Source organism: Homo sapiens, chromosome 6 (genome assembly GCF_000001405.40).
Source record: "Homo sapiens chromosome 6, GRCh38.p14 Primary Assembly".
Taxonomy (NCBI): Eukaryota; Metazoa; Chordata; class Mammalia; order Primates; family Hominidae; genus Homo; species Homo sapiens.
In genome coordinates this window covers 73419357-73442375 of record NC_000006.12, presented here as the reverse complement: position 1 = coordinate 73442375, position 23019 = coordinate 73419357, and the positions used below count along the sequence as shown (strand labels likewise).

Sequence of the window (23019 nt, the reverse complement as noted above, 5' to 3'; positions counted from 1 at the left end):
GTGAGTATGGAGAGGAGGAAGATGTGGGGTGAAAGGAGAGGTATACCCTATAACCCTTTGTATGAATTTCAGAATAATCTAGCAGGGAGGGAGAGATGGCTGATGTAGGAGAGGAAATACTTGAAGAGCATGGTACTTGAGAAGTTGAGAAGGAAGGGATCCAGAGACTATGGGCAGAGGTGGCCTTTGAAAGGTAGATGGAGGGCCAGGCACAGTGGCTCACACTTGTAACCCTAGCACTTTGGGAGGCCAAGGTAGGCAGATCATTTGAGCTCAAGAGTTCAAGACCAGCCTGGCCAACATGGTGAAACCCTGTCTCTACTAAAAATACAAAAATTAGCCAGGTGTGGTGGTGCATGCCTGTAATCCCAGCGACTCAGGAGGTTGAGGCAGGAGAATCACTTGAAGCTGGGAGGTGGAGTTTGCAGTGAGCTGATATCACACCACTGCACTGCATCCAGCCTGGGCTACAGAGCAAGACTTTGTCTCAAAAAAAAGTAAGGTAGATGGACACTTACTTCCTCAGTGGTAACAGGAGAGGTGGCCAGGTTTGGGTAACAGGTGGCCAGGTTTGCAGATTTTTCTAGCATTTTCTCCTTTGTGCTCTACTTCGTCACTGTGGAAGTCTTATCTGACAGTAGTAGTCTTTACTGCTTATAAACCCCCAACTCCCAAAGCCATCTAAATTTCTGACCATAGCCACCCACCCAGCAGCCATCTCCACTTGAGTGTCCCACAGGTATCTAGAGCTCATTGTATCTCATGAAGTTCAGCTTGGCCCAATCTTTCTTCTTCCTGCTTATTCTATTTTGAGGAATGGAACCAACATCAGCCATTAGGCCTAGGAAGGCCAAGATCCTGGGATGGCATCCCAAGGCTCCTACTTTCCTCCTCACATCGTAGCCTCAACTCATGACCACTTATGTTGATTTGGACTTCTTTAGTTGCTCTCACTTCTTCCCCGTGTCTTGATGCTCACTACCTCTGTGCTGCCGTGGCACCCAGCCTCTGTGCCAGGCTGTTGCTGTGGTCTTTTTGCTGCCTGTCTCTTCCCTCTTGCCCATCTGGCCTCTCCTCTAGGCTTCCCTCCATTCTGCCATCTATAATTTGTAATGAAAATTTAACCAGGCACAGTGGCACATGCCTGTAATCCCAGCTACTCAGGAAGCTGAGGCAGGAGGATCAATTGAACCCGGGAGGCAGAAGTTGCAGTGAGCCGAGATCGTGCCACTGCACTCCAGCCTGGGCAACAAGACAATAAGAGTGAAACTCTGTCTCAAAAAAAAAAAAAAAGAAAAAGAAAAAGAAAAAAGAAAAGAAAAGAAAAGAAGAAAATTTAATCACAGCACTCTTAAACCTCAAAGTCTACAGAGACCCCTTCATCATATATGCCCCACACCATCTTGACAATGCCTCCCAATGGGAGATATCAGTAATTATTGTGTTTTTTGTTTTTTGTTTTTTTTTCTTTTTTGAGACAGAGTCTTAATCTGTCGCCCAGGCTGGAGTGCAGTCATGTGATCTCGGCTCACTGCAACCTCCGCCTCCTGGGTTCAAGTGATTCTCATGCCTCAGCCTCCCGAGTAGCTGGGATTACAGGCATTCGCCACCATGCCCGGCTAATTTTTGTATTTTTAGTAGAGATGGGGTTCCACCATGTTGGCCAGGCTGGTCTCGAACTCCTGACCTCAAGTGATCCACCTGTCTCGGCCTCCCAAAGTGCTGCGATTACAGGCATGAGCCATCATGCCCAGCCAATATTGGTTTAGTAAAATACTTTGCCTTTTAGAGCCAGTTTCTGTTTTACCACTAATGTTTACTTCATACTTAGCACACCAGAGATCTTCAATTATAGTTACATTATTTCCCCTGTATTTCCAGAGAAAATTGGATTAATAAATACTTTCTTTTCTTTTATATGTTCAACCAGATACAGATGTCATCATGAAGAGGAAAAGAGGAGGGAGCCCTGCTGTAACACTTCTTATTAGTGAAAAAATATCTGTGGATATAACCCTGGCTTTGGAATCAAAAAGTAGCTGGCCTGCTAGCACCCAAGAAGGCCTGCGCATTCAAAACTGGCTTTCAGCAAAAGTTAGGAAGCAACTACGACTAAAGCCATTTTACCTTGTACCCAAGCATGCAAAGGAAGGAAATGGTTTCCAAGGTATTTTAAATATTAAAGTTAACTTAAAGAAGTAAAAGAGTTGTTAATGTTATATGTTCAGGCAGTAAAAGATCAACAGCCAACCAATGCTGTTGTCATTTCAAGAGCCATCAGGCAAAATAGGTTATAAGATGGGAGTCTGGTGACAGACAGAATTGAAAAGGGCAAAGTTGTAGTATTAATATCAAATACTCAGCTTTAAAATGTCTAGCAATCCATATTTGAATTTTATTTTATTTTTTTCGGTAAAGAAAAGCAGTATTGGCCTTGGAGTCAGACTGCCCTGGTTCTGAATCCTGAGGCTCCTTCTACTAGTTGTGTGAATTCGAGCTAGTTATGATGCTTTCTAAACCCATTTGCTCATCCGTACACTGTGTTAACCAAAAGTACTTGAAAAATTCTGGAAAGATAAAATGTGCATGCAGTTCTGTGGCCAATTCTGTTCATGCCAGTTATACGTTATTACATATTAATATTATCATTAGAGTCTAGACTCTCATTCTCAGCCCTGGTTCTCTCTTTCCTTCATCTTCCCATTCCACTGCTCCTATGCAGCGTGTCTCAGCCTCACAGATCAGGACGGGTTTTCAGGCTGTGCTCTTGGGTAAAATTCAACTTCCAAGAAACAGACTGAGTTGGTCTACAGCTAAAACTTTATAATGGTGATATTTTTGAAGGTAGAAGGAAGTAACTTTTTTTTTTCTTTCTTTCTTTTTTTTTTTTTCCTGAGACAGAGTTTTGCTCTTGTTGCCCAGGCTGAAGTGCAGTGGCACAATCTCAGCTTGCTGCAACCTCTGCCTCCCGGGTTAAAGCGATTCTCCTGCCCCATCCTCCCGAGTAGCTGGGACTACAGGTGCCCGCTACCATGCCTGGCTAATTTTTTGTATTTTTAGTAGAGACGGGGTTTCACCATGTTGGCCAGGCTGGTCTCAAACTCCTGGGAAGTAGCTTTTTTCCTTGTGATTTAGTCTAAAAAAAAAAAGAAAGTAGCTGATTATTTTCATTTTCTCCCATAGATTTATATAGGACTTTTGGCACCTACTACTATTGGATTCCAGGGAAATTGAAGGAGACCATAAAACAAATGAACCAAGTTATAAATGAGTATTGCTGAAAAAAGCCCAGAAATAGTCAATCATGCTTAGTTTGATGGTTTGTGTTTTTGTGGACACACATCATAACTTCATATATTGCATACATAGAGGAATCATTTTCTGTAAGAAAAATAGTCTATGAAGGGTACTTACATATATCATTATTCATGTTTTTACAAAATGAATTATAGCTTTCTGCAAAGAGGTTGTTCTGCAAACTGAACAATTTTTAGAATAGCTGCCCCAGGAAACCCTCACTGTAAGTGATACAAAAATTGCAACAGGACCCCATACCATCTCTTGCTGACCCCATACTGTCCTGAGGAACACTGGAAGGTAAATCACCTTAGAGATGAAGAAGAGTCCTTTGGTGGCCCTGTGGCCTATGTGGTTAGGCAGTTCTTTTTTTTTTTTTTTTTTGAGACGGATTCTTGCTTTGTTGCCCAGGCTGGAGTGCAGTGGTGTGAACTTGGCTCACTGCAACCTCTGCCTCCTGGCTCAAGCGATTCTCCTGCCTCAGCCTCATGAGTAGCTGGGACTACAGGCGCATGCCACCACGCGAGGCTAATTTTTGTATTTTTAGTAGAGACAGGGTTTCATTATGTTGGCCAGGATGGTCTCCATCTCTTGACCTCGTGATCCACCCGCCTCAGCCTCCCAAAGTGCTGGGATTACAGGCGTGAGCCACTGCATCTAGCCATGGTTAGGGAGTTCTTTTCATTCTTCCATTAAAATGAAAGAAAGTGAAGGCTGGTGCTGGATGCTTAGCTTCACCTCTGCTTTCTGTTACCCTTGGCTGTTCTGCATCTGCCATCATTCCAGATTATGTATAATTAGACAAAACTCTGCTTCTGTGTATGTGTGTGAGTGTATGTGAACAGAGGGACTTAACAGTGAAAATACTTGTACTAGATTGGAGACACTTATAACACCTGCTATATCTTTTCTTTCTCTAAACATTCTACTAGAAATTCCCTGGTCTCACAAGCTATATTTTTAAAAATATTATGTTTTTGTTTTTATTTATTTTTATTTGTTTATTTTTTGAGACAGAGTCTCGCTGTGTCGCCCAGGCTGGAGTGCAGTGGTGCAATCTTGGCTCACTGCAACCTCCACCTCCTGGGTTCAAAAGATTCTCCCACTTCAGCATCTCGAGTAGCTGGGACTACAGGTGCGTGCCACCATGCCCAGCTAATTTTTTGTATTTTTAGTAGAGACTGGGTTTCACCATATTGGCCAGGCTGATCTCGAACTCCCAACTTCAGGTGATCCACCCATCTCCATCTCCCAAAGATTACAGGCATGAGCCACTGTGCCTGGCCTTGTTTTTATTGATTTTTGATTAAAAATTTTAAATTTTAAAAATTTACCTGTTGCAAAATAATACTAGTTTTATTACCAAGGATATAATTTATTTAAAGAACAGTTTATGATTTACTTGCAGTTTTTTTGTTCTTAAGATAAAAGGACAGTCAAAATATGAGGTTTTTAACCCACTCAAAAAAATGTTCAGCCAGGCGCAGTGGCCCATGCCTATAGTCTCAGCTACTCAGGAAGTTGAGGCGGGAGGATTGCTTGAGCCCAGGGGTTCAGGGCTGTAGTGAGCTATGATCATGCCACTGCACTCCATCCTGGGTAACATAGCAAGAAGTCCTCTATACCCCGCCTGCCAAAAAAAAAGTCTCTGGACAGTTTAACTCAACATAGGTAAATTAACTTGTTTCATTATGTTATCTGTTTTTAGATACTGGTTTTTAAATTTTGATTTAATTCGTTTCATAAATTTATAAAGCATATACGTGGTTCCAAAGTCAAAGCTATGGAAAAAGGTACAGTTAGAGAAACATCTTCTGTTCATGTCCTCTCCACACTCTTCTCTCCTTCCCTGATTAGAAACCTTTTTAATTGTTTTTAGTTTACCCTTCCATGTTTTATTTTTTATTTTATTTATTTATTTATTTTTGAGACAGAGTCTCGCTCTGTTGCCCAGGCTGGAGCGCAGTGGGGCAATCTTGGCTCACTGCAGCCTTCGCCTCCCAGGTTCAAGTGATTCTCCTGCCTCAGCCTCCAGGAGTAGATGGGATTACAGGTGTGTGCCACCACGCCTGGCTAATTTTTGTGTTTTTAGTAGAGATGAGGTTTCACCACGCTGGCCAGGCTGCTCTTGAACTCCCAACCTCAGGTGGTCCACCCACCTTGGCCTCCCAAAGTACTGGGATTACAGGCGTGAGCCACCGTGCCTGGCCTTCCGTGTTTTAAAAGTGTAAGTAAATATATTCTCTCTCTCTCTCTCTCATTCATGTAATGGCTCAAACCTATAATCCAGTACTTTGGGAGGCTGAAGTGGGTGGATCATTTGAGCTCAGGAGTTCGAGACCAGCGTGGGCAACATGGTGAAAGCCTGTCTCTACTAAAAATACAAAAATTAGCCAGGTGTGGTGGTGCAAGCCTGTAGTCCCAACTATTCAAGAGGCTGATGTCAGGGGATCACTTGAGCCCTGGAGGTTGAGGCTGCAGTGAGCCAAGATGGTGCCACTGCACTCTAGCCTGGGTAACAGAGTGAGACCCTGTCTCAAAAACAAAGAAAAAGGTGTCCCTTTTATTTTAAAAAGGGGATGGCATATAAATGTGTATATAGTATATAATATAAATTATATACAATGTTTTATATTATATGACATATTACATATAAATTATACATAATATATTACATGTAAATACTTATGTAAATATATTCATATAAATACTTATATTTAATATATATTTTTAAGATAAAGAAGTCAGGTAAAAACTAAGGAAATCTGGATAAAGTATAGACTTTAGTTAACAATAATGTATCAATATTGGTTTATTGTACCAATGTATTTTATGAATATGGGATGTTAATAATAGGGAAATGGGGGTGCAGTGGCATGTGCTTATAGTCCTAGTTTCCTCAGCCTTCGGGAGGCTGAGGCAGGAGGATCATTGAGCCCAGGAGTTAGGGTTGTTCTTCTTGGAGCTGAACTCCTGGGTTCAAGTGATCCTCCCGTCTCAGTCTCCCACCTCCCAAGTAGCTGAGATTACAGGTGCACGACACTGTAATCAGTGGACATGTTTTCAAGTGGGTTTAAAACTTGGTATTTTGACTGTCCTTTTATCTTAAGGACAAAAAACTGCAAAAAAATTATAAGCTGTTTTTTATAAGTGTATTATTGGTAATAATACTGGTATTACTTTGAAAAAGGTAGATTGAACATAAATATTAGATAATATAGTAATTTATATACATACAAAATATATTTGTATGCTACCCCCTTTTTAAATAAAAGGTACACTTTTTTTTTTTTTTTTTTTAAAGTAGACACAGGGTCTTGCTATGTTGCCCAGGCTGGTCTCAAACTCCTGGCCTAAAGCAGTCCTCCCACTTTGGCCTCCTAAAGTGCTGGGATTATAGGCATGAGCCATCATGGCCAGGACATATGTTTTTCTTTTTAATTTTATTAATTTGGTTTATTTTTTAATTTTATAGACGCCCTGCTCTCAGATATAACACTTTTTTTCTTTTAATTTAACAAGATATTTTCGATCTCACTCCATACCTCTATATAGAGAAAACACCCATTCCTTTTTAAAGTCTATTTTTACAGCTGGTCAAAGAGTAAATCGTTATGTAATATTGCTAGGCATTTCCCAGATCTCCATAGGCATCATTCCAATTTGCTTTTCCACAGCAATGTATCAGAGTACCTGTTTCACTCTCAACCTCACTGACTTGTTAAACTTTTTGCCAATTGAAATTCTTGCCAGTGAGAAAATGATATCTCAAAAAGTAAGAAATGATATCTCAGTGTAGTTTATTTAAAAATAAACTTTTTGTTTTAGCATAGTTTTGTATTTACAGAAAAATTGTGAAGATAGTACAGAGAGTTCCCGTATAACCCCATACCCATTCCCCTGGGGTTTTTTCTGGGGGAGGTAGTGGGGCAGAGTTTCACTATGTTGCCCATGCTGGTCTTGAACTGAGCTCAATGATCCTCCCACCTCACCTTATCAAGTAACTGGGACTACAGACACGTGCCACTGCAGCACCCCCATTTTCCTATTATTAATATCTCACATTAATACAATACATTTAATAATTAATAAACCAATATTGATATATTATTGTTAGCTAAGGGCTATATCTGCTGGGCACAGTGGGTCTTGCCTGTAATCCCAGCACTTTGGGAGGCCGAGGTGGGCAGATCACCTGAAATCAAGAGTTCGAAACCACCCTGGCCAACATGGCAAAACCCCGTCTCTACTAAAAAAATACAAAAATTAGCCAGGCGTGGTGGCATGTGACTTAGTCCCAGCTACTCAGGAGGCCGAGACAGGAGAATCACTTGAACTTGGTGGGTGGAGTTGCAGTGAGCCAAGATCATGCCACTGCACTCCAGTCTAGGAGACACAGCGAGACTCCATTAAAAAAAAAAATTATATACTTTATCCAGATTTCCTTAGTTTTTCTTAATGTCCTTTTACTGTTCCAAGATCCCATTTAGGATACCATATTGCATTTAGTTGTCATGTCTCCTTAAGCTACTCTTGACTGTGACAGTTTTTTGGTTTTAACAGTTTTGAGGAGTACTAGTTAGGTATTTTGTAGAATGTCCTTTACTTGAGATTTCTTTATTATGTTTCTTATGATTAGATCAGAGTTATTGGTTTGGGGGAGGAAGGTCACAGAGGCAAAGTGCCATCCTTATCAAATTTTATCAACGGTACGTGCCACCTTTCTTTACAGTCATGTACAGTTGACCCTCAGGATTGGCTCCAGGGTACCCTGCAGACACCGAAGTCCACAGATGCTCAAATCCCTTACATAAAATGATATAATACAGTTGGCCCTCCATATCTGTGGGTTTCAATTCACGATTGGTTGAATTCTCAGATGTGAAACCCTCAGATACAGAGGGCCAACCGTATTGTGTAGCTATCCCTGAACTCTTTATTCTGTCCCATTAAAATCTTTGTCTATCTTTGTACCATGTTGTTGTACATAATGTAGCTTTATAATTAGTCTCAATATCTTTTAGGGCAAGTTCTACCACTTCGTTTTTCTCCAAGGGTGTCTGAGAGAGTCTTGACCCTTTACATTCTCATATAAATTTTGAAATCAGCTTTTCAGATTCCACAAAATACTTTTTGGAATTTTGATTGAGATAATGTTGAATCTATAGATAAATTTGGGGCCAGGAATGATGACTTATGCCTGTAATTCCAGCACTTCAGAAGGCTGAGGAAGGAGAGTTGCTTTAGGTGAGGGGTTCAAGACCATCTTGGACAACACTGTGTAAAAACTCTAGCCAGGCGTGGTGGCTCACGCCTGTAATCCCAGCACTTTGGAAGGCCAAGGTGAGTGGATTACGAGGTCAAGAGATCGAGACCATCCTGGCCAACATGGTAAGACCCCATTTCTACTAAAAATACAAAAATTAGCTGGGCATGGTGGCACGTGCCTGTAGTCCTAGCTACTCGGGAGGCTGAGGCAGGAGAATCGCTTGAACCCAGGAGGCAGAGGTTGCAGTGAGCCAAGATCACGCCATTGCACTCCAGCCTGGTGACAGAGAGAGACTCCGTCTCAAAAAAAAATTAAAAAAAAAAAACTCTCTATAAAAGTTTTTATAGAGAGTTGTGAGTCTTCATCTCTATAAAAACTTTTTAAAAATTAGCCAGGCGTGGTGGTGTGCACTTGTAGCTTGTAGTCTTAGTTACGCAAGAGAATCACTTAAGCTCAGGAGTTCGAGGTTACAGTGAGCTATGATCTTGCCACTGCACTCCAGCCTGGGCAACATAACAAGACACTGTCTGTATTAAAAAAAAAAAACATGGGAGAGAGTTGATATGTTAACAATATTGAGTCTCCCAATCCACTTATTTACATCTCCTCTAATACTTCCCAGCTTCATTCATTAGCATTTTCTCTGCAGAGGTTTTGTATATCTTTTGTTAATTTATTCATAGGTAATTGATCTATTTTAAAACTATTTATTTATTTATTTATTTTGAGATGGAGTCTCGCTCTGTCACCCAGGCTGGAGTGCAGTGGTGCGATCTCGGCTCACTGCACCCTCCACCTCCTGGGTTCAAGCGATTCTCCTGCCTCAGCCTCCTGAGTAGCTGGGATTACAGGTGCCCACCACCGTGTCTGGCTAGTTTTTGTATTTTTAGTAGAGATAGGGTTTCACCATGTTGTCCAGGCTGCTCTCAAACTCCTGACCTCAGGTGATCTGCTCACCTCGGCCTCCCAAAGTACTGGGATGACAGGCGTGAGCCACCGCGCCTGGCCAAAACTTTTTATTATGAAAATTTTAAACCAGTACCAAAGGAGACTGGGCCAGGAGTGTTGGCTCATGCTTGTAATACCAGCATTTTGGGAGGCTGAGGTGGGTGGATCACTTGAGCCCAGGAGTTCAAGCCTGGGCCACGTGACAAAACCCTGTCTCTTCAAAAAATACAAAATAAATTAGCTGGGTGTGGTAATATGCACCTGTTGTCCCAGCTATTTGGGGGGCTGAGGTGGGAGAATCACTTGAGTCTAGGAGGTTGAGGCTTCTGTGAGCCGAGATCATGTCACTGCGCTCCAGCCTGGGTGACAAAGTGAAACCTTGTCTTAAAAAAATAATCAATGACTGGGAGCGGTGGCTCACACCTGTAATCCAAGCACTTTGGGAGGCCAAGGCGGGTGGGTCACCTGAGGTCAGGAGTGCGAGACCAGCCTGGCCAACATGGTGAAACCCCATCTCTACTAAAAATACAAAATTAGCCGGGCATGGTGGCGCATGCCTGTAATCCCAGCTACTCAGGAGGCTGAGGCAGGAGAATCACTTGAACCTGGAAGGCAGAGGTTGCAGTGAGCTGAGATGGTGTCACTGCACTCCAGCCTGGGCAACAGAGCGAGACTCAATCTCAAAAAATAAAAATAAATAAAAATAAATGTATAAACAAATAATAATTTTCTTATATTAGCTGGGCACAGTGGCTCACAGCTGTAATTCCAGCACTTTGGGAGGTGGGAGGATTGCTGGACCCCAGGAGTTTGAGATCAGCCTGGGCAAGGTGGAGAGACCCCGTCTCTACAAAAAAATCCAAAAATTAGCCAGCCATGGTGATGTATGCTTCTGGTCCCGCTATTGGAACGGCTAACATGAGAAGATTGCTTGAGGCTGGGAAGTCGAGGTTTCAGTGAGCTGTGTTCACGCACTCCAGCCTGGGTGATAGAGGGAGATCTTGTCTCAAAAAATGAAAGAAAAAAGTAATAATTCCCTAATATCAAACACCTATTCAGTATTAAAATTTCCGCTTGTCTTGTAAGTGTCATACTTTTTTTGTATGTTTGGATCAGTCTGTTTGGATCAGGATTCAAATAAGGTTCATACATTGTGACTGACCAATATGTCTGTTAAATCTCTTTTAACTCATAACTTCCTCTTTCATAACTTTTTTATTCCTTGAATAAAATTTACTCAATTTACTTCAATTTACTCATTGAAGAAACAGGTTATTTTTCCTGTAGAGTTTCCCAAAGAGAGTTTGTAGAGTGCATTCTAGAAGTGTCGTTTAGCATGTTCTGCTTTCATCCATATTTCTTTTTGTTGTTGTTGTTGTTTTGTTTTTTTGAGAGGGAGTTTTGCTCTTGTTGCCCAGTCTGGAGTGCAATCGCCCGATCTTGGCTCACTGCAACCTGCGCCTCCCAGGTTTAAGTGATTCTCCTGCCTTAGCCTCCAGAGTAGCTGGGATTACAGGCTTGTGCCACCATGCCCGGCTAAATGTTTGTATTTTTAGTAGAAATGGGGTTTCACCATGTTGGTCCGGCTGGTCTCGAACTCCTGACCTCAGGTGATCCACCGCCTCAGCCTCCCAAAGTGCTGGGATTACAGGAGTGAGCCACTGTGCCTGGCCTCATCCATATTTCATTAGCAGTTAGATCTAGAAGGTAACTGTTGGGTGTTTTTTTTTGTTTGTTTTTTGTTTTTGTTTTTGTTTTTTGAGACTGAGTCTCACTCTGTCATCCAGGCTGGAGTGCAATGGCATGATCTTGGCTCACTGCAACCTCTGCCTCCTGAATTCAAGCGATTCCCCTGCCTCAGCCTCCTGAGTAGCTGGGATTACAACTGTGTGCCACAATGCCTGGCTAATTTTTGTATTTTTAGTAGCGACGGAGTTTCGCCATGTTTGCCAGGCTGCTCTTGAACCCCATATCTCAGGTGATCTGCTCACCTCGGCCTCCCACGGTGCTGGGATTACAGGCATGAGCCACTGCACCTGGCCTAATTGCTAGTTTTTATACTATTGTAAGTAACATCTTTCTCAAAATTTCATTTTTTGTTTATTACCATATATCAAAATACCTTTGATTTTTGTATCCACAATCTTGGTAACTCTTTTAATTGATTTGGTGAGTTTATTTACATAATTTTTTTTTTCTTTTTTCATTTTCTTTCTTTTTTGAGATGGAGCCTCGCTCTGTTGTCCAGGCTGGAGTGCAGTGGCGTGATCTCGACTCACTGCAACCTCGGCATTCCGGGTTCAAGGGATTCTCCTGCCTCAGCCTCCCAAGTAGCTGGGACTATATACAAATACATACATACATGTGGTATGTGTAGGCACACGCCACCACACTGGCTAAGCTAATCTTTCTATTTTTAGTAGATATGGTGTTTCACCATGTTGGCCAGGCTGGTCTCCTGTCTCGGCCTCCTGAAGTGCTGGGATTACAGGCGTGAACCACCATGCCCAGCATTGTAGATTCTTTTGTATTTCCTATATATGCAATTACATCACCTATGAATAATGATGGCTTTGTTTCTCCCTTTCCAGTGTGTAACCCTGTTTTTCCTTCCCTTACTGTGCTTGCTATGACACCCAGTGCATGTTGAACAGAAATAGAGATAGCAGATGTTTTGCCTTCTTTCTGATTTCTCTCTCCAACTTTTTACCTCACATAATGATTGTTGCTATAGTTTTCTAAAATCTACCTTTTATGGAATCAAGTGTCCATCTAGACTTAGATTGCTAAGAGGTGTTTTTTTAATGATGAACGACTATAGGATTTTAAGAGCTTCATTTTCTTCATCTATTGAGACAATCATGTATTTCTCCTCTATTCTGTTAATGTGACAGATTATATTGATTGATTTTTCTGAAAAATCATTCAGATTATAAACTACTTATACTTTGCTAGTATAAAACCACGAAGTAACAGGGTGGTCAGAGCATAAAAGAGCTAGCCATGGTAAGACTCGGGGAGAAATTTTTTTTTTTTGAGACAGAGTCTTGTGCTGTTGCCCAGGCTGGAGTGCAGTGGCGCGATCTCCGCTCACTGCAAGCTCCACCTCCCGGGTTCGCGCCATTCTCCTGCCTCAGCCTCCCAAGTAGCTGGGATTACAGGCGCCCGCCACCACGCCCGGCTAATTTTTTGTATTTTTGGTAGAGGCAGGGTTTCACTGTGTTAGCCAGGATGGTCTTGATCTCCCGACCTTGTGATCCGCCCACCTTGGCCTCCCAAGGTGCTGGGATTACAGGCGTGAGCCACCGCGCCCAGGTGAAATCATTCTATATTTACACAAACTCTCATAAATAAGAATAAAGGAAATGGTCCCCAATTCATTTTGTATTAATATAAAACCTGTAAGGATGGTACAGAAAAAGTGAATAAATTGATTCAAATTATTATTGAAACAAAATATTTAACAAAGGGAATTTAGCAATATATAAAAGGTAATACATCTTACTATTGCTAACTATATTAAACTGTGACTTCCTTTTTTTTTCGGTTAGGCCCATTTTTTGTCTCAGTGTACTTATTTTTATACATAATTATTTATCTGTTCACTTCTTTTGATTCACTCCTAAGATTTTTTCAGAATATTTTCTTTTTCTTTCTTTCTTTTTTTTTTTTTGATGGAGTTTTGCTCTTGTTGCCCAGGCTGGAGTGCAATGGTGCAATCTCGGCTCACTGCAACCTCCACCTCCCAGGTTCAAGTGATTCTCCTTCCTCAGCCTCCCGAGTAGCTGGGATTACAGGCATGTGCCACCATGCCAGGATAACTTTTTTTTGTATTTTTGGTAGAGATGGGTTTCTCCATGTTGGTCAGGCTGGTCTCGAACTCCCGACCTCAGGTGACCCACCCTCCTCGGCCTCCCAAAGTACTGAGATTACAGGCGTGAGCCCCCATGCCCAGCCCCAGGATATTTTCATGAGGGAAACCACTTGAATATTGTTTAGATATGGATGCTTTGGGTAAAGTGCTTTTTTGTTTTTCTTTTTGAAATTAAGAAGAAACATGGCGGCTATCCTTCTCTCACATCGAAAAGGAAATTTTGAACAATCATGGAAAATCTAAAACGTGCTGTGAAAACAAAGAAGAGAAATGTTGCAGGTAACAGCCTTATTTTGTTAAATGACAGATTATCTATGGTATGCTTAATTATTTGTTGACTCCACACCTCAGACCTGAAGAGCTGAGCTGGGTTGGGTCTGGGGGGCAGGGCAGGATTGGGTTGAGCTGGGGAGAGTGTGAGTATGAAACCAGAGAAGCTAGATCCAAAGGGCCAAGGAAAGGGTGTTGTTAGAAGGCAAGGCCGGGGAATAGTAGTTCTGAACCCTGGATCAGATGAATGTGTTTTTGTATAGATGTATCAGTAGGACAGAGTGAGAGGGTATGAGCACTAGCCATGACAATTCGATGGGTCTTAGTATTCTGCTTGTTTAAAAGTAATGGATATTAATGCCATATAATTGGAGGAGGCCAAAAGGTCGCTCTTATTAGATACTGGGCTTGCTTTGGGATAGTTGGGTTGTGTTGACGGCTAGGGATTGATTGGCCAAACTGAAAACAACACTAAGTGAGTAATTTTTTTTTTTGAGACAGACTTTCACTCTGTCACCCAGACTGGAGTGCAGTGGCACAATTACGGCTCACCACAGCCTCGATCTCCTGGGCTCAAGCAATCATCCTACCTCAGCCCCCCAAGTAGCTGAGATTACAGGTGCATGCCACCATGCTCGGCTAATTTAAAAAAAAATTTTGTAGAGGGCCTGTTGGCTCACACCTGTAATCCCAGCCTAGCAACATGGTGAGACCCCACCTCCATAAAAAATTTAAAAATTAGCCAGGCATGGTGACTGGTGCCTGTGGTCCCAGCTACTTGGAAGGCTGAGGTAGGAGAATGGCTCGAGCCCAGAAAATCAAGGCTGCAGTGAGCCATGATCGTGCCACTGCACTGCAACCTGGGTGACATAGTGACACCCTGTCTCAAAAAAAATTTTTTTTATTGGTAGAGATGGTGGTCTCCCTTTGTTGCCCAGGCAGGCTGGTCACCAACTCCTGGGTTCAAGTAAACTTCCCGCCTTGGCCTCCCAAAGTCTTGGAAGTACGGGGATGAGACACTGCACCCCACCATTTTTTTTTGTGATGGCATACACACCATAAAGAACTAAGATTGAAAAGGAATTGTTCATTTGAGTTTCTAAAGTTGGCCAGTATTGGCCAGGCATGGTGGCTCAAGGCCTGCAATCCCAGCACTTTGGGAGGCCAGGGCAGGTGGATCACCTGAGGTCAGGAATTCGAGACCAGCCTGGCCTACGTGGCGAAACCCCGTCTCTACTAAAAATACAAAAATTAGCTGGGCGCAGTGGCACGTGCCTGTAATCCCCGCTACTCAGGAGGCTGAGGCAAGAGAATCACCTGAACCCGGGAGACAGAGGTTGCAATAAGCTGAGATCATGCCACTGCACTCCAGCCTGGGCAACAGAGCAAGACTCCATCTTAAATAAATAAATAAATAAATAAATAAATAAATAAATAAAGTAAGTTGGCCAGTATAAAGATCACAAAAGTTAAAAAGTCAAAACAAAAATGCCCAACATGCAGGCACAGAGGTTCTTTAAGATCTCATATGCAGGCTTTGAAGTAAGCATTAAGAAAACTATATTGTTGGCCAGGCACAGTGGCTCACGCCTGTAATCCCAGCACTTTGGGAGGCCGAGGCAGGTAGATCACCTGAGGTCAGGAGTTCGAGACCAGCCTGGCCAACGTTATGAAACCCCGTCTCTACAAAAATGCAAAAATTAGCCGGGCGAGGTGGCATGCACCTGTAATCCCAGCTACTTAGGAGGTTGAGGCAGGAGAATCGCTTGAACCCAGTAGGCAGAGGTTGCGGTGAGCTGAGATCACACCACTGCACTCCAGCCTGGGCAACAGAGCGAGACTCCATCTCAAAAAAAAAGGAAAAAGAAAAAAAAAAAGAAATATTGTTGATAAGGCTAAATAGTTTCATAAATAGTACATTTTGTCAACTACTAAATAACTAGATGAGATGGCAGATTATCTATGGTACTCTTAATAATGTAAATAATTCTGTGATACAATCAGTGGATTTTAGAAAAGAAAAAATTTATATTAAATTTGCAGTTCAATAAAGTAAAATAATTTTATAACAAAACAAGATTTTGGATCGCTTGAGGGGGGTGAGGGGAGGGTCAGAGGTTGCAGTGAGCCGAGATTGTATCACTGCATCCCAGCCTGGGTGACAGAGTGAGACCCTGTCTCAAAAAAAAAAAAAATAGTATAAATATCTGTTAGCTTTATACAGTTGAAGAAATTCATAGAATATATTTAAGCTAAGAATGGGAAAGAGAGGGAAAAAATGTGTTTTTGAAACTTCAAACCATATATTTGAAAACATAATCAGATTTTAGTGTGACTGTTGTATTTATTTTATTTTATTTTATTTTATCATTTCATTTCATTTCATTTATTTCATTTTATTTTATTATTTTATTTTATTTTATTTTATTTTATTTTGAGATGGAGTCTCACTTGTTGCCCAGGCTGGAGTGCAGTGGCATGATCTTGGCTCACTGCAACCTCTGCCTCCTGGGTTCAAGTGATTCTCCTGCCTCAGCCTCCCGAGTAGCTGGGATTATAGGTGCACGCCACCACACCTGGCTAATTTTTGTATTTTTAGTAGAGATGGGGTTTCAGCATACTGGCCAGGCTGATCTCGAACTCTTGACCTCGTGATCCGCCTGCCTAGGCCTCCCAAAGTGCTGGGATTACAGGCATGAGCCACCGCGCCCGGCTTTTTTGTTTTTGTTTTTGTTTTCTGTGTGTGACAGAGTTTCGTTCTTGTTGCCCAGGCTGGAGTGCAATGACGCGATCTTGGCTCACTGCAACCTCCGCCTCCTGGCTTCAAGCGATTCTCGTGCCTCAGCCTGCAGAGTAGCTGGGATTACAGGCGTGCGCCACCACGCCCAGCTAATTTTGTATTTTTAGTAGAGACGGGGTTTCACCATATTAGTCAGGCTGGACTCAAACTCTTGATCTTAGGTGATCCCCCTGCCTCAGCCTCCCAAAGTGCTGGGATTACAGGCGTTGTGTCACCACGCCCGGCCTATATTTATGTTATTATATATCTTTATTGTTTATATTTTTGCTATGAGATGCCTAAAATCCTTTGTTGAATGTAAATAAGTAAAAATAAGTGTTTTCCTTTTTTATTCAACAGGAAAGATTGTTTAAAACTAATGAAATACCTTTTAGAACAGCTGAAAGAAAGGTTTAAAGACAAAAAACATCTGGATAAATTCTCTTCTTATCATGTGAAAACTGCCTTCTTTCACGTATGTACCCAGAACCCTCAAGACAGTCAGTGGGACCGCAAAGACCTGGGCCTCTGCTTTGATAACTGCGTGACATACTTTCTTCAGTGCCTCAGGACAGAAAAACTTGAGAATTATTTTATTCCTGAATTCAATCTATTCTCTAGCAACTTAATTGACAAAAGAAGTAAGGAATTTCTGACAAAGCAAATTGAATATGAAAGAAACAATGAGTTTCCAGTTTTTGATGAATTTTGAGATTGTATTTTTAGAAAGATCTAAGAACTAGAGTCACCCTAAATCCTGGAGAATACAAGAAAAATTTGAAAAGGGGCCAGACGCTGTGGCTCACACCTGTAATCCCAGCTCTTTGGAGGCCGAGGCAGGCGGATCACTTGAGGTCAGGAGTTTGAGACCAGCCTGACCAACATGGTGAAACTCCATCTCTACTAAAAATATAAAAATTAGCCGGGCATGGTGATGCATGCCTGTAATCCCAGCTACTCGGGAGGCTTAGACATGAGAATCACTTGAACCCAGGAGGTGGAGGTTGCAGTGAGTCAAGATGGCACCACTGCACTCCATCCTGGGTGACAGAGCAAGACTTCCTCTCAAAAAATAAATAAATAAATAAGAAAAATAAATTAGGAAATTATTAAAATAATTTTTTAGAAAAGCAACAAAATAACAAAAATTAGTGACTGTAATAATTGGAATGTTTGAAATTTGTCACAGCAATAATTGACTAAAATGAATGTAAATAATTATTCAGTTTTCAGTTTGTTGTAATAAACTCTAATCAGTATAAAGGATTGACTATCCTAGGAAAAAGATTAGTCAAGGAATAAGAAGCAAAAGTAGTATTTGAAATCTAAAAACATTACCATGTTTGCTTTATCATGCAGGCAAATAAATAAATAAATGACATTTTTAGGTTGGAATAAAAAAAGATAAAGTACATATTGCCTTAATTAAATTCATCAAGTTCTTACTGAAAAACAGCTCTCCGCCGTGCCTGGCCAGGAAATACATAATTTTTTTTTTTTTTTTTTAGATGGAGTCTCGCTCTGTCGCCCAGGCTGGAGTCCAGTGGCATGATCTTGGCTCACTGCAAGCTCTGCTTCCTGGGTTCATGCCATTCTCCTGCCTCAGCCTTCCGAGTAGCTGGGACTACAGGTGCCCGCCACCACATCCGGCTAATTTTTTGTATTTTTAGTAAAGATGGGGTTTCACCATGTTAGCCAGGATGGTCTCGATCTCCTTACCTTGTGATCCGCCCGCCTTGGCCTCCCAAAGTGCTGGGATTACAGGTGTGAGCCACCACGCCTGGCTGAAATACATAATCTTAAAAGAAAACATAAGATACTTTATTTTAATATACGTGACTAAATGTAAAACCTAACTTATTTTCTGTTATCTATTTATTTTTACTTTCAGTAACACTTTTTTTATTTTAGGTAGCATTCAGCCTAGAGGCAACTGCTGTTTGTTAAATATTTCCTGTTCATATATTTTGCACATTTTCTTATGGGTTAGTTTTCTTCTCATTGTTTTGGGAAGTTCTTAATATATTTGGGGTATTTATCTTTCATTCGTTGTCTGTGTAACAAATAACTTCTGCCATATGGGTTGTCTGCACATTTTTTGGTGTCTTTTAGTAAACAAGGTTTTTTTGTTTTGTATTGTTTTGTTTATTGTAAAGATTTTTAAATTTTAATGGAGTTGATTTCTTTTCTCATTCAAGCTTTTGAGAATAAATTGGAGTTGAATTTTTTATGGTTTTTGCTTTATACATCTTGTTTAACAGCCTACTATGTTTGAACATACTAAGAGAAACATTAGACATTTGAAGAGTTTTGGGGACAATTAATGATAAATAAACCACTATGCAAATAAAATAATCTAAGCAATTTTTTTTTTTTTTGGGACAGTCTCACTCTGTCGCCCAGGCTGGAGTGCAGTGGCACGATCTTGGCTCACTGCACCCTCCTCCTCCCGGTTCAAGCAATTCTCCTGCCTCAGCCTCCCAAGTAGCTGGGACTACAGTTGCACGCCACCATGCCTGGCTAATTATTTTTGTATTTTTAGTAGAGACAGAGTTTCACCATGTTGGTCAAGCTGGTCTCAAACTCCTGACCTCAGGTGATACACCCATCTCAGCCTCCCAAAGTGCTAAGATTACAGATGTGAGCACTGTGCCCAGCCAATCTAAGCAATTTTTAACTCCATAAGAAAAATGAATGCATGAAAGAAAAGTCTGATATAAGAATATTGCTCAGCTGTTTAAGTATTGACAAAGTCATAGTAATGTAACCATTGACTATTAATCTTATTGAAGTTATGGACTGTTGTCGACTTTAAAAAAATTAAAAACCAGGGGCGGTGGCTCACCCCTGTAATTCCAGCACTTTGGGAGGCCAAGGCGGGCAGATCATGAGGTCAGGAGTTCAAGACCAGCCTGGCCAACATGGTGAAACCTCATCTCTACTAAAAATACAAAAATTAGATGAGTATGGTGGTACGTGCCTGTAATCCCAGCTACTTGGGAGGCTGAGGCAGGAGAATCGCTTGAACCCAGGAGGCAGAGGTTGCAGTGAGCCAAGACAGTGCCGCTGCACTCCAGCCTGGTGACAGAGCGAGACTCCATCTCAAAAAAAAAAAAAAAATTAAAAAAAAACTTTTTTAATGTGAAAAGAAAGAAAGAAATTATGATTACCCACTCTGTGGTTAGGATAGGACAATAGGCTTAGTTCCTGTATGGTGACAGTGGTAGGGAGATTACATTAGTTTCCTGTGTAACAATTAACCACAACCTTAGAGGCTTAAAACAACACATATTTATTATCTCACATTTTCAGTGGGCCAAAATTCTGGGTGTGGCTCTGCTCAGAGTCTCTCAAGGCTATAATTAAGACGTCAGCCAGCGCTGTAGCCTCATCTGAGGCTTGACTGGAGAAGGAACCATTTTTGTTGGCAGAATTTAGTTCCTTTACATTTGTAGGACTGAGGGCTTCAGTTTCTTGCTGTCAGCCAGAGGTTGCCCTCAGTTCCTAGAAGCTGTCTTCAGTTCCTTACCATGTGAGCCTCCCAACATAGGCAGCCCACAACAGTAGCTCGATTCTTCAAAGCCAGCAAGGGAGGTACTCCAGCAAGAGGAGTGCTACAAACTTGTTTAACACAATTACATACACATAATTATGTACAGTCCGTTGCCTGTACTGTATTCTATTGATTGGAAGCAAGTCAAAGGTCCCTCTCATACCCAAGAGGAGAGGAATCACTCAAGGGTGTTCTTGTTGTCTCAGATGCCAGCGATACAGTTAGGGGGAAAACAGTTCCCATAAGACCACCCTCATTTCTGTCAACAATTGCAATTTCAAGGGATTCCTAAAACCACCCTGAGGTTTGATGAAAGACTCACAGAACTCACTAAAACCACTATGCTCATGGTTGCAGTTTATTATATAGTAAGCATGCAAGTTTAAATCAGCCAAAGGAAGAAGTGCGTAAGGCAGAGTTTAAGAGAGTAGCAAACACAGCACTTTCTGTTGTCTTTTGGTGGAGTCATGGACATGTTATTCTCTTGGCATCAATGTGTGCCAATACACGCAGAATATTGCCAGCCAGGGAAGCTCACCTGAGCCATGTCCAGAGTTCTTACTGCAGCTCATGGTTGGCTGGACATATGTCTAACCTCAGTCTCCAGCTCCTCTGGAAGGCAAACAGTATAAGCTGATACCATGACCCAAAGACCCCACCATAAATCACATTGTTATACTTTCTGGCACATTCCAAGAATTCAGCCATTACCTTTCAGAAGCCAAGGGCAAAGGTGAGACTTTTCTTTGGGTTAGGTTAAATTCCTTACTACATAGATATGAACCTCAGGAGGTGGGGGGCCACAGGACAACCCTGAGGGTCCGACTGTCACAGGTATGCAAAAACTGAATTAATCTTCCTTATAGTGGGAAGTCAGTAAATGTCAAATTTTTAAAACCAAGAAATTGCAGTATAAGCAAGTTATTAATGGCTAAAAGATGAAAAGGTTACATCTTGGGAGTGGAAAATGAAGGGTGGAAGGGTTCGGGACTACTTTTTTTTTTAAATAAAATGATTTTATTTAGTTAGTTTGTAAATGTGAATATAGTTGGCAAAAACCAAACCAAAACAGCATAAAACCAAAAAATGACAGTTATATGATTGATCATGCCCAAGTACAACAGCATTTATTAGTAGAATATAAAAAATAAATTTTATGGCTGGGTGCCATGGCTCATGCCTGTAATCCCAGCACTTTGGGAGGACGAGGCGGGCGGATCACCTGAGGTCAGGAGTTCAAGACCAGCCTGATCAACATGGAGAAACCCCGTCTCTACTAAAAATACAAAATTGGCCGGGTGTGGTGGCGCATGCCTGTAATCCCAGCTACTCAGGAAGGCTGAGGCAGAAGAATTGCTTGAACCTGGGAGGCAGAGGTTGCAGTGAGCCGAGATTGTGCCATTGCAGTCCAGCCTGGGCAACAAGAGCGAAATTCCATCTCTAAATAAATTAATTAAATTAAAAATAATAAAAAATTTTATTATTGTTGTTATTTATTTATTTATTTTTTTGAGACGGAGTCTTGCTCTGTCACCCAGGCTGGAGTGCAGTGGCGCGATCTTGGCTCACTGCAACCTCCGCCTCCCGAGTTCAAGCGATTCTCCTGCCTTAGCCTCCCAAGTAGCTGGGATTACAGGCACCCACCACCACGCCCACCTAATTTTTTGTATTTTTAGTAGAGACAGGGTTTCACTATGTTGGCCAGGCTGGTCTTGAATGCTTGACCTCATGATCCACCTGCTTTGGCCTTCCAAAGTGCTGAGATTAAGGCGTGAGCCACTGCGCCTGGCCTAAAAATTTTGTTATTTTTATGTGCTTTTTTTCCCCCAGCTTTGACTCTCTGGATGCTTTTGAAAGTTTGAGTTCCTAAGAAATTCCACAGCTAGAGGTTCCTACGATGTCACTGAGTGAGGTTAAGGTTCTGCTCTTATAGGGAGCATCTTATCCTTGGGGATTCTGGACAACTGGACCCCTAGGAACTTGAAAAACAGCTGCTTTCATTGGTATTCTTTTGACATGGGGAAAATATAGCCATTGTCCATTAAAACACAATCCAATTTGGGTACAAGTACTCTTCAGGTTTTCTAAGTTCTCCACAGGAATACCAAGACTAGGCTACCATCTTTTCTGACAACAGACTACTTTTTAAATAAGCTTTGTAAGTCCAAGATTTCTGGCAGAGAAATGTAAATAAAAAATAAAAACAAAAATAAATAAGTCTTGTAGAACCATTTGCTTCCATACATTACATGTATATTTGACTTTGATAAAAATGAAAACAATTTTTTTTTTTGAGACAGAATTTCCCTCTTGTTGCCCAGGCTGGAGTGCGATGACCTAATCTTGGCTCACTGCAAACTCCACCTCCCGGGTTCAAGCGATTCTCCTGCCTCAGCCTCCCGAGTAGCTGGGATTATAAGCGCCCGCCACCACATCTGGCTAATTTTGTATTTTTAGTAGAGACCGGGTTTCTCCGTGTTGGTCAGGCTGGGCTCGAACTCCTGACCTCTGGTGATGCGCCCGCCTCGTCCTCCCAAAGTGCTGGTATTACAGGCGTGAGCCACTGTGCACGGCCTGAACACATATTATTTTTAAATTTTTTCATTTTGCCGGGCGCGGTGGCCTGAACACATATTACTTTTAAATCTTTTTCATTTTGCCAGGCATGAGGGTGGATGCCTGTAATCCCAGCTACTTGGGAGGCTGAGGCAGGAGAGTCGCTTGAACCTGGGAGGCGGAGGTTGTGGGTGAACTGAGATTGTGCCATTGCACTCCAGCCTGGGCAACAAGAGTGAAACTCTGTCTCAAAAAAAAAGTAATATGTGTTCAATGTGAAAAAGTCAGATGTTCACGTTAAAGTGTAAAAAAAAACAAACAGTGAAAATACAGAGAAATAGCATTATTAATCTAACATTTTATTACTGGGTAGTGCCACGCAATTCCAGGCTCCTGGTGTCTTGTTTTGTTTGTTCATTTTTGAGACGGAGTCTCACTCTGTCACCTAGGCTGGAGTGCAGTGGCCCGATCAC

General features: G+C 41.7%; 1 protein-coding gene across 2 annotated transcripts in view, besides 1 other annotated feature; it reads left to right on the top strand.

Moving 5' to 3' along the window:
* The window catches only part of CGAS (cyclic GMP-AMP synthase), a 28587-nt gene extending 9922 nt beyond the window's left edge, over positions 1–18665 (top strand). The window contains exons 3-6 of one of the 2 annotated variants that reach the window (NM_001410911.1): positions 1931–2167; positions 13565–13667; positions 16798–16912; positions 17946–18665. In NM_001410911.1, the coding sequence (NP_001397840.1) occupies positions 1931–2167; positions 13565–13667; positions 16798–16912; positions 17946–18107 (617 nt within the window). In that variant the 3' untranslated portion in view covers positions 18108–18665. Of the gene's footprint in view, positions 1–1930; positions 2168–13564; positions 13668–16797 lie in introns of both variants that reach the window. The other variant, NM_138441.3, reaches the window with a different exon arrangement.
* Positions 20496–20790: a silencer, noted in NCBI's record as "tiled region #12175; HepG2 Repressive non-DNase unmatched - State 24:Quies". NCBI's record gives its function as "represses a minimal TATA promoter and a strong SV40 promoter by Sharpr-MPRA in HepG2 cells {active_cell/tissue: HepG2}" and the evidence as "EXISTENCE:reporter gene assay evidence [ECO:0000049][PMID:27701403]".